The following is a 12,020-nucleotide window of genomic DNA, read 5'->3' on the forward strand; positions in this document are numbered from 1 at the left end:
TTTTTTTTTAAATGACAGATGCCATTGCTATAAGAACTTTAATAAGTATATGTGAAACTTTCTGGTAGCTGGCAGGAAAACAGGCTCTTTAATCTTTTACAGTTCACCACATTTGTTTTACAGCCTCTGCAAGTACAGATGACTAACTGCTTCTACGCAGAGCTGTGCAGCGTTTCTACCAAAGGCCAGGCCTGTCTGGGTAAATCCATTCCCTTCAGTAAACATTGCAGGGAGGCAAGTCTTCTTAAGAAGCAGTTTAACTCAGTGGTTAAGAGCCCAGGCTCTGGATTTAGACTTCCTGGGTTCAAATCCTGGCTTGGCCTCTTGCCAAGTGACCTTGCATGAGTTCTTAATCTTCCTCCAAGTATAAAAAGGAAGAATAACAATATTTAACTGGTAGGATCTTCATAGGAATCCTATGAAGGGTTACATTTCTAGAACATAGTAGTACTCAATAAATGCCGGTTATCATTATACCTTCTTTTACGATATACAAGGCATCCCAAAAGTCTCAATACAGTTTTATGCTGAAATTTCAGAAATATAAGCATTACAAACTTACCTCAAATACCACTTATTTAGTTCTGTAAATTTTAAGTAATAAAATTTTAGTTTTTTGTTTCGGTGCCTCTGATTGAAAGTGGCAAGTGCTGCCTGAAACAAAAATTACATTACTAATTTCACAGTGGAGCAGGGAATAAGTATACACACAACTATTAGACAAAGGAGACTTTTTACCATTAAGACTTAATTCGATAGACATGGCTGTGGTCTGAATGTGTCTCCCCCAAATTTATGTGTTGGAAACTTAATCCTCAACGCAGCAGTGAAGGGAGGTGAGTCCTTTTGAGAGGTGCTTAGGTCATGAGGGCTCAGCCCTTATGAGTGGATTAATATCATTATAAAAGGGTTTCACAGACAGAGTTTGGTCCTTTTTGCCTTCTGCCTTCCACCATGTGAGGACACAGCATTCCACCCCTCTGGAGGATGCAAAAACAAGTCACTATCTTGGAAGTGGAGATCAGCCCTCACCAGACACCAAACCTGCCAGCAAGTTGATCTTGGACTTCCCAGCCTCCAGAACTGTGAGCAAAAAAAAATCTTTGTTCTTTATAAACTACCCAGTCTTGGGTATTTCGTTTCAACAACACAAAATAGACTAAGACAGACATTCTTTGAGCACCTACTATGTGCCATGCTTGTGTTAGGTACCAGGAAGATAAAAGGAAACAAGATGAGATGATTAGACAATAGAGGTGTACAAAGCCAGCAGGGGCAAGCATGGAAATAGATTGCTGCAGCATGTTCTGCTGTATTATTCAGGTCCAGGTATGCTCGGGGTGCTGGAGTTTCAGGTAGTGGGGTGCTATGCCCAGGATACAGCAGAAAGGAAAAGGAAAAGTGTTTCTCTCACTGACATTTGGAAGACATTTTCCCTCCTCATGATGTGAATTTTTCCTTTCACTTGTCATTAATTCTGTTCATCTGCAAGAAGCCCATCTATCTATAGCTTTCCTTTTGCAGTAGCTTTTCAATAGTGGATCTTTATTGAGCTTTTCCATCTTTGTAAATCGTAAATTGTCCTTTCAACATGCATAATGACAAGCATTTCGACCCACACACTCTATTTACATATCATAGCAAACAGCCTCTTATTTAGATGTCAAATTCCAGCAACTAAAAACTCAGATCCACAAAACAGCAAGAAGCCAAATAATTCTCAAAACCATAATGCTTTCCATAAACTTCAGTTCCCTTTGGGCAGTCCTTCAGGCCATATAGCTGTTCTTTTTAAATACACATTTATAATGAATCTGTCCATCTGTTTTTCTAGCAGATTAGAAGTACAAAAATCAGGGGAGTCATCTGAAAACATGGTGCTTAGCTTCACGAATTCCCTAAAAGTTACAACCCAGGGCTACTGGGTTTTCCTTTCTTTTCTTTTCCTTGAGACAGCGTCTCACTCTGTCACCAGGTTGGAGAGCAGTGATGCCATCACAGGTCACTGCAGCCTCGACCTCCCAGACTCAGGTGATTCTCCCACCTCAGCCTCCCGAGTAGCTGGGACCACAGGTGTGCACCATGCCCAGCTAATTTTTTGTATTTTTTGTAGAGATGAGGTTTCGCTGTTGCTCAGGCTAGTCTTGAACCCCTGGGCTCAAGCAATCCACTCGCCTTAGCCTCCCAAAGTGCTGGAATTACAGGTATGAGCCACTGTGCCTGGCCACTACTGTGTTTTCTGAAGGAAATTAGTTTTAACAGAACCAGAAAGGACTAAGTAATATCCACAATGTGTAACAGACACCTAAACTCTTACATGAAGAGTTATGTGCCCTAGTAGAAAACTATTTTTCATTTTCTCATATCTCAAAAGATTGAAAATTACAAATCCTAGCACTTTGGGAGGCTGAAGCGGGAGTCTCTACTTTAAAAATTTAAAAATGAGCCAGGAATAGCAGCGTGTGCCTTTATCCCAGCTACTTGGAGACTAAGGTGGGGCACTGCTTAAGCTCAGGAGTTCAAGGCTACAGTGAGCTGTGATCGTGCCACTGCACTCAGCCTGGGTGACAGAGTGAGACCCTGTGTTTCTAAAATAATAATAATAATAAGTAAATAAATGAAAATTACAAATAAAACTCAACTCTACATTCAAAATTTTCTTAAAATTTTTCTTAAAAATTCTAGTCCATGTGCAGAATTCACTTGCTTAAATAAGCCATCACTTATATCTAGTCAATATCATCATGTTATAGAAAAAAGTTGAAAAAGGAACATATTATAGAATTATTGGCCATTGTTGTTTATTTAAATGCTAGAAAAAAAATAAGATTTATATACAATAAGTTTTGAGAGAAGTTTATCATTTTTTGGTTCCTATAACTTTTAGTTATTTGACATTTGCAAACTAAACTGGAAAACTAAGAAAATTAAATGTGATTTTTTTCTTCTCAGATAACTGAAGCCAAGACATTTTTGAGAACATGAATTTTCCATATGATTGACTTATTTCAATGCTTTGAGTGGGCATAGCTTTATTCTAAATTTTTATGAATTTTAGAGTTGATTCAGAAATTACAATGTGAATATTATATAAAATCAGATAATAATGTAGTATGTAAAATATGCATGGTGGAAGGAGTAAACTGTGTAGATTATTCTGGCCCTGCAAAACACAGAAGTGTCTCAATTTCTCTTTTTCCACCGTGATTTTTATCTATTGTGTTATTTTGATATTTGTACATTTACTGGGATCTGGCAGGATGAGTTGCACATGGGTAGCATTTATATTAACTAAATTTGGTTTTCATTTTAGAAACAAATTCCTCCTTTCTTCTTTTTTTCTGCTGCCAAAGCCCAATAGGCTTATAAATAAATACACAGCCCACAGGAAAGACTTGAGGAGGTTCAGGTAGACATTTCATTTGAATTTCCGGAGCCTGGTTTTATCTTAACAGCCCTCATACTCCTTGGACCACACCTGGGCAAGCAAAGTGAAGTGGGAAATAAAATAGTTGGATCAATGACGTCAACAACCAACGCCGCTGTCCAAAACCAAAACCTCACATTTCAAGCAGAGGCTGGGTGGGGAATATATATTTTTTTAACCTAAATCTTCTTCTCATTTTCTCCTTTTTTGGTGAGGGTAGAAATATCATGTAAGAGGCCTGTTATACAGATAACTAACGCAAGAGACACGTGAGCAGACGTCACTTGAGCCTCATTTTCCATGCCAAAATTCAGGATTTAAGGTCTAAAACCATAGAGAATATTTTAGAGCTAGATGGTTCCAGAAAATCTGAGACATGTGGCCACCACAGCTGTGAAGTGGCCCACTCTCTCCCACCTACCCACCCCAGAATTTCTTACCCTTCATAAGGCAGCCCCTACTCGAGGCTGGCCAGACTTCTTCAACAAATGACAGACAAAGCAGGTTTGGTCCCAATGTAAAATGAAGTCTCAGAACCCACGGCTCAGCCATTTTGGAGAGTGAGATGAGGAGGCCACGCCACAGAGGCCCTCGGGCAGCACAGCTGCCATGACAATATGGGCCAGTGCCAGGAATAGGAAGGATCAAGTTAAATGTTTGTGATCCAATAACAAAACCACAACATGGGCCCCATTAAGCAAGGTTTAGGTAGAAGCTAATGAACTGAATCTAATTTTCTTTTGACCATCTTTGACAAGGAATAAGCTCTGCTATAATGAGTTTCTTAGGCAATTCAAATATAGACATTACAGTGGGGCTCAATAAAAAAAAACAACTCTCACAAAGGAGCTGATCTCCTCAAATAGACTCTAAGGTGGTTTAACTGGGAAGCATATATATATTTCTTTAAAACTCTTCCGTGAATAATCAGGAATAATTATCCATTTTAAAATACTTTTTATATTTCCATTTTTAATTAAAAATATATACACATACACGTACATAAATACATACACATAAATGTATGAATTTTCCACCAGGAAACCCACACTAAATACCTAGGGTTTTTCTGTACTAATTGAACACACTATCACACTATAACCCAAAGGCCTGGCCACAGACAATAGCAGATGCTTCAAGAGAAAGAATAGGGCCCTTTCAGCCAATTATACAATTACACGATATGACCATGTTTACATTATCAAAGGGAGGCAGACCAAATTACCTAGCTACTTCAAATTAATAACCCCATTTACCTCAATTATCTGGCAGGCAGGGTCTAAATAACCTGAGTAATTACTTCAATTCATTCAGATGGTATAGATTTGGCCTGTGTGTCCACAAGTAATTTTTCCTTCCAGTACACACACCTTAAACCATCAGCAAATATCAAAATGCACAACAGCAAACTCCTGTCAGTTTCATCTATAAGCAGTGTAAGCAAATCCTCTCCATTATCTGGCAGATTAAAATTTGTTATACTCTTAATAATCCAGGTTGAGGTTTTCTTTTCTGACAAAAACTCACTGGACCATAGAATTTTAGAGCTAGGAAGTACCATCCAGGGCCCACAGTCTAAAAGCCAGCTCCTGGAAGCAGTCCAACCAGAAATTCAGCCTGCTCACTCATAGCACGTAAGGCAAGGAGGTCTGAAGCCCAAATGCGTGGGTTCAAATCCTGGCTCTGCCACTTACTAGCTGAATGGCCTTGGCAAGTTCCTAAACCTTGCCAAGCCTGAGTCCTCTTCTGTACAATGGTGGTAATAAGGGAACCTGATTTATAGAGTCAGAACAAGGATTAAATGAGACAATCCACATAATGCACTTAGCATGCTTCTTGGCACATAACTACTATTGTTAAGCCCGTACTATTATTATTCTTATAGCAGCACCACCTTTAATAGGTTCCCCCAAAGGATGTGTCCATGTCCTAATCCCTAGAACCTGTGAATAGTAACCTTATATAACAAAGGATGTGATTAAGTTAAGGACCTTGGAAAGAGGTGTTTATCCTGTTTTATACAAGTGGTCCCTAAATGCAGTCACATGGGTCCTTATAACAGACAGGCACAGAGAGTTTTGAGGCAGACACACAGGAGAGGACATAGGTACATGGAGAAGAAGGCAATATGAAGACAGAGCAGAGAGCTGCAGCTACGAGCCAATGAATGCAGACAGCTGCCAGATGCTGGAAGAAGCAAGGAATAGATTTTCCTTCAAGAAGGGGTACGACTCTGTTGACACATTGATTTCAGACTTCTGGCCTCCAGAGCTCCAAGAGACTACGTATCTATTGCTTTAAACCACCACATGTGTGGTAATTTGTCATAGACAGCAGCCCCAGGAAACTAATACACTACCTCAATGGGTGCAGGTCTCGTTTGACCTTTAAACTACAACTTGCAGATGTTAACAGTGACAATGATAAAGCCAAAGATAAAGGTGCCTAAAAAACGGAAACACCAAGGGCTGGTGTTATGAATTGAGCTTAACAAAAGTAAAGAAGCGGAAGAATGCAAGAGACAATGAGCAAAGAGGTTTGGTTGAAGGATACACAAGGGTTCGGGGAAGGAAACACAGGAAGCATGAGGCTAGAGCCTGATCCTGTAATGGTTCTCACCCACTAGAGACAGAAATCTACAATGCCAGTGTGTTGTTTGTTTCTAAATAACATGTTTATCCAGTCAGTACTCTATGCTTTTTCTTTTTATTTATTATGCTTGGAGTTTGTACAACTTCTTGAATCTATGGGTTGATCTCTCTTACAAATCTGGGGAAATTCTTAGCCTCAAACACTGCTTCTGTCTCATTCCCTCCCTCAAACACTGCTTCTGTCTCATTCCCTCCCTCTCTGCTCCTTCTGAGACTCCAGTTATACATATCTTAGACTTTTCACTGTGCCCCACTTGTCTCTTATGCTTTTTTCTATATGTTCCATTTTTCCCTCTTTGCATTTCAGCTTAAATCGTTTCTATTAACCTTTCTTCCAGATCACTATTCTTGTCTTCTGCTACATATGATCTCTCTGTTAAAACCCTATCCATTGAGTTCTTAATTGCAGATATCTTTTTCAAGTAATAGAAATCCCATTTTATTCTTTATAGATTCCAATTCTTTGTTTAAATTTTTCATATTTTCATCTATTTTATCCATTAAAAATTTATTTTCTTGAACATATTAATTAGTTATTTTTAAATTCCTTTTTTGCTAAATATAATTCTATTCACTCTGGATCATCTGTGAATCTGTTTCTATCATTTGTTTTTCTCTCATTTTTGGGGAATGGTCACATTGACACACCTAATAATTTTTGATTGAATACCAGACATCATGTATTAGAAAGTTGAAAAGATTTCTGATGAAGTTATCTTCCTCAAGAGATGGCTCTCCTTTCTTCTGTCAGGAAAATAGAGTTGGGGATGGGGGTGCGGGCTGATGACCTAAACCAATCAGGAACTATTACAAGACTCAGGTTGCTCCTGGCTTACACCCTTTGCTAGGACTTAGCCCTCCTGGACTTCACTGAGAGCCTGGTGTGTTCACCATGCCCCCACCCCTCCCAACCTCCAAAAGCAGGTACTGAACTGTAAATCCTTATTGTCTCAGCACCAGAAGATTACTCAACACCCCTTCTGCTTTCCGGAGGGATTCTGCTTATCTTTCGAACCTCTCGTCCCATGCAGTCCAGAATTTAGCAACTGTCTTGAAGGGAAAGCCAACTGTGCATTTCTGGCTCCTCAAGCTCCAATTTTGTCTCTCCACTCCAGTCCCAAGAGAACACAAACGCTCTGCAGGTTTATTTTTCCCAGAGCAGCAACATTCCGTCCAAGCAAAGCCCAGGTCCCCATTATTTTGTCAGCACTCAGAATTAGAAATCTCCCAAAAATAAAGTAGCTACAGATCGTCAGCTCACCTCTCCACAGTTCTCTTCTTCTTGATATTTTAGCCCCCTACTCCTCATTGTTTCAACACTTCCCAGATTTAAACAGAATGTTGCTTTCTGTATTTTATATAGTTTTTGTTGTTCTTCTTGGGATCATTAGTTTGCCTCAAACTACCCAATCCTAGCCAGAAACAGAAATTTCTCCTTTATATTTTTCAAAGTGTTTTCATTGTCATAATTAGTTCCCCCCCATATAAACTAATAATAAGAAGAAGGCAGTATTTTTTACTCTGATATTTTAGAGCACAGTTTGCCAGTGTTGGGCAAACTATGGCCCACAGGCCAAGTCCAGCCCACTGCCTGGTTTTGTAAATAAAGTTTTATTGGAATACAGCCATGTGCATATTCCAATAAAATGTGCATATTGTCTATGGCTGCTTTGGCACTACAAAAGCTGTTGCAGATTTAAGTAGTTGTAACAGAGACCACATCACCCACAAAGCCCAAAATATTTACCATCTTTCCCTTTACAGAAAGTTTGCCAGCCCCTGCTTCATTTGAAGGAAACTGAAGCTCAGACACATTCAGTGACTCGCAAGTTAACTTTGGAGAGAAGATTGCATGTGCGGTTCCCTGATTCTTATTCCAGCCATCTCCCCACTCTTCTAATTTGCTTCCCATCACAATGATTTATTACAATCATTTTTTAAGATTAACACAACAAGGAGAGAGACAGAGGGGAATGAGTCTGAAGCAGACAGTCCCAGTAAGGAAAAGGGAGGTGTCTCAGCGAACACAATTAAGGGTCTTTCTATTTTTGGAATATTTGGGGAATTTTGGCAGTCACCTTGGAAATCTGCTAAAACAAATAATGGAAGGCAACTATTCAAGGATGCCACTTCAAGGTAAAAAAAAAAAAAGCCTTAGTATTTCATAGAGGTTTTTGTTGTTGTTGTTCAGAAAATGAACATATAAGGAAGAAAAATGAGAAGTATCCTGAAGAATGTGTTCAATTTTTATCCATTTGATTGCTGAACGCTTTCATCAAGGCAATTCTCTGAGCACAGGAAAAAAATATCCCCAACAGAGGTTGGCAGCTCAGAGGGACACACACACACACACACACACACACACACACACACCCCATGCCTGATTAAACAAAATAATTTTTAAAAATCCAAAATCCAATACAGTTCGAAACTTAACAATAATTTAAAAGAAAGGCCACTTGCTTTCCCCTCTTCTGCTTTATACAAATACATGGTAATTTGCTTCTTTTTAATAGTTTGTACAATCTGATGAGTGGTGCAATTTAGCCCCCATGTCAATTACGGATGCTAAAAATTTCAGAATTATAAGATCACCAAAATTATCACACCCACCAAAAAGACCTGCTGGGGACAGCTAATCTTTTTCTTTTCACTATACCTTGTGCAGAAGGCTGAGCAGGGGATGTCCACATCTTGCCAACCCTGGAGCTCCATTTTCCCAGGGAGGACTTGAGCGGGAAAAGCAAGATGTAAGGTAGAGAAAGACTAATTCATAAAAGTAAGGGAGTCATGCCCTTAAAAAAGAAACACAAACTCCTCTAAAAGTTGAGAAACAAAAAGCTCTCGGGCCTCCCTGACAAGATTCCATAGTTGTTTCTCTCAGCGCTTAGATTTCTCCAGAGGCAGAAAGGCAGAAGCAGAACTTAGCTCACATTTCTTTGAATGAGCCATTTAAATGCCCATCACTCCACATCACTCTCATGCTCTGAATTCTTCTGTGGCTCCCCAGTGCTCAATTTTGGGGTCCAAGCGCTTGAATGCAGGATACACCATGCACCACAATCTTGCATCTCTCATCACATTCCGTTTTCAGCCACTGTCTGCCTAGCACGTCCTGCTCTTGCAACAAAGAACACTTTTAACTTGCATCGTCCTCTCATCCCAGCTTGCAAAGGAACAGGTACACATGAGGACTGCATTCCTATTCAGGGATTTACGTGGGAAAAAAAGAAATCAGTGTTTTACTTTACTTTTAAAGATGTAATATCTATGAAATCTCTGTTGTTATTTACCTATGATAGTAAAAATATTGCAAAAATTACCAAATTACGAAGTATGAAGTGACCTCCAACATCATATACTCCAAATTCCTCAACTGGTGGTTCATGAAGCTCAGAAAAAGATGCAGAGGATTCCTTCTGTTCTTTGATGAACACTTAAGGCCGTTTCAGAGAAGCAGCCATTACACCCCTTTCCTTCTGGGCCTGAACTCAGGCTCCTTCCTAATTTAAGGAAAAAGTAAAACACCAACCATCCTCAGAAACCAACCTTCTTTACAGGCAGAAGTTTCTTCCAACCTGTTACCTGCGAATTTCAAAATCATACCTCCTGTCTGCCAAACAAGACTGCCAGCTTCTCAAAGCAAGAACTATACTGAGGTAGGTATAGACACTCATGTACACAGAGACACACACACTGAGACACACATACACAGACACACATACGCTTCTCATAGCTGAAAACATGGAAGGCAGTCCATCTTTCTAGACAGTGAGTATCTAATACAAGTCAAGACACAGTAATTACGCTACAGACAAAGGGAGGGAGGATAAAAAGGAAGGTCACTCTGATTGAAGAGGAGATGGTTAGTAGGGGGATGGATGCAAAGGCCAGATGTGGGAGAAAGAGACTGGCAGGCCTAAGGTCAATTCTTATCTTGTCAGTGTGGAGAAAAATGTGTTACCAGCAGCGTTTAGTCTAATGATGTGTGAGAGATACACAAAACAAAAAGGGGGGTGAGGGTTTTGGGTAGAAGGAAATCATGATCGTAGTCCACTCCTGAGCTAAAGGCCTGAGCCTGGGAACCAGTGGGAGGAATGAAACAGACGGATGCATAGAGAGATGCTGGAAAGAATAATCAAGTGGATATGATGGCATTGGAAATGAGGGAAGGCAGGAGAATAAACCACAGTGCCTTGGTCTTTCAATTTTGAGGAAGAAAGATCCCAAGGTCAATAACACCTCACTTATGCAGAGGCCCCTTGGCTCACAAACTCAGCCATCCAGATGCAGCCCCCTCCTTCTCAGACTGCTCCAGTGCCATCCACAACATTCCACACAGGCCCTACACACAGGACATGGCCCCGGCTGCCTCCGCTGCCCGCCACTCATCCTCATCTCTACTGGATCCAGACACTTGACTCATTCGTGATCCTCAAACATGCCAAGCACATGCTGACCCCGGAAGGAGCCTTCTGTAAGAGAGTGGGCAGGGCCTGAGCCCGGGGAATGCCCAGGGTTAAGGGGAAGCAGAGAAAAGCCCTCAAAGAGGAGTGGCCAAAAGAGGTGATGACCGTGCGCCATGGAAGGGAAACCAGAGATGCAAAAAGCCAACGGCAGTTCATGCACATCAAAAGCTTCAGGGGCATGCAAGTGAATGGAAACAAAGTTCAGTTGAAGAAAGGAATAAAGAAAGGAAGGAAAGAAGACAGAAATGGGTGAAAGCCTTTCACAGCAAATATCTCTGGCAGACAGAGCAGGGAGCAGACCCCAGAGGAAGGAAGTCTAAAAGAGCTTCATCCCTCACCCCACTCGTGCATTTTGGCAGCACCCACCTAAGAGTACACTTTGGGGAAAGAGGGTGAGAGAAGCAGGCTCGCTCTTACTACTACCCCCAAATTAATTCCTCAGCAAGCCTTTCCCATTCATTATCATCATCTTTTCTTCATAAATCAAGTCTGCCAGACTCAAAGACTGGAACATTCAGGAAGTGCTTACTCAAAACATAGAAACATCAATATGGAGACTGCAGACCCCAGAATGATAACAGGGTGAGCTATATTTATATCCCACGGCTGGTGATGCCTCAGCACACTTCACTCTCTAGAAATTCCGTCGGCTTAATTTATGTGGCTCATTCCTCATTCCCTTTCAGCTGACAGGCTTCTTATCTTTTTCATTTGGAAACTTATCTGTAGGAGTTCCCAAACCCTCACTGTCGTTCGTTTTTGAAGTACCTGCATTCTGTCTCGAGTTTCCGGTAGATAAGTAGGGCTCCCTTAGATGCTGTCTGCCTATACCCCATGACTGTCAAAAATGTCCCCACCCTGGGATCAGGCATCAGATCCTAACAACACTGACAGAGTGAAGGGCACGTTTCTCCCTTTGGTGGGATTTTCTCTTCCAAGCCATTAAAACACTTTAAGATGCCTTTTCATATCTTTGCTATCTTTAGATTAGATGCTTAATGCATAAATCAGCCCAAATAGAGTGATGGAGTAGCGGGGAGAGGCTGACGCATTTCCTCACGTACAACCCAGCGTTTGAGTAAAAAAAAAAAAAAAAAAAACTTTACTCAGAAAAAAGATAAGGCTAAAATCAGATCTCAGATTAAAAATGGTAAGGAAATTGCAACTAGCTGTAGCCAATTCAAGCTGAGCCAATTATCACCAATCATAAAAGATGACTTATAAGAGGCCCTGGTGCCCCAGTACAATGGAGCAATTAAATCTTTATAACTGAGACAAAAAAAATGCCACATAATTAGACACAGCCAGAAAAGGGTACGTATGCTTCCCCTTCCTGTGGCTGGCCCATTAGGGCAGGCATGCAGCCATTTCTTCACTGCCAAAAGGCCAATCCATTCCCCCCATCACTCAGCCTGCCTGAATCGCATCTGACACTGGCCACTAAGGTGGAGTTTCCTTTGGCCACAGGCCACT

At 40.7% G+C, this 12,020-nt stretch overlaps 1 protein-coding gene across 10 annotated transcripts in view, besides 2 other annotated features; it reads right to left on the reverse strand.

Annotated features, from left to right (window-relative positions):
• Nucleotides 1-12,020, reverse strand: part of RFTN1 (raftlin, lipid raft linker 1) — a 197,855-nt gene that overhangs the window by 141,160 nt on the left and 44,675 nt on the right. The window lies entirely within an intron of this gene.
• Nucleotides 10,420-10,549: an enhancer, noted in NCBI's record as "active region_19544". NCBI's record gives its function as "activates an Ori minimal core promoter by ATAC-STARR-seq in GM12878 lymphoblastoid cells {active_cell/tissue: GM12878}" and the evidence as "EXISTENCE:reporter gene assay evidence [ECO:0000049][PMID:35858748]".
• Nucleotides 10,790-10,919: an enhancer, noted in NCBI's record as "active region_19545". NCBI's record gives its function as "activates an Ori minimal core promoter by ATAC-STARR-seq in GM12878 lymphoblastoid cells {active_cell/tissue: GM12878}" and the evidence as "EXISTENCE:reporter gene assay evidence [ECO:0000049][PMID:35858748]".

The sequence above is a fragment of the Homo sapiens genome, chromosome 3 (genome assembly GCF_000001405.40).
Source record: "Homo sapiens chromosome 3, GRCh38.p14 Primary Assembly".
Classification (NCBI taxonomy): domain Eukaryota; kingdom Metazoa; phylum Chordata; class Mammalia; order Primates; family Hominidae; genus Homo; species Homo sapiens.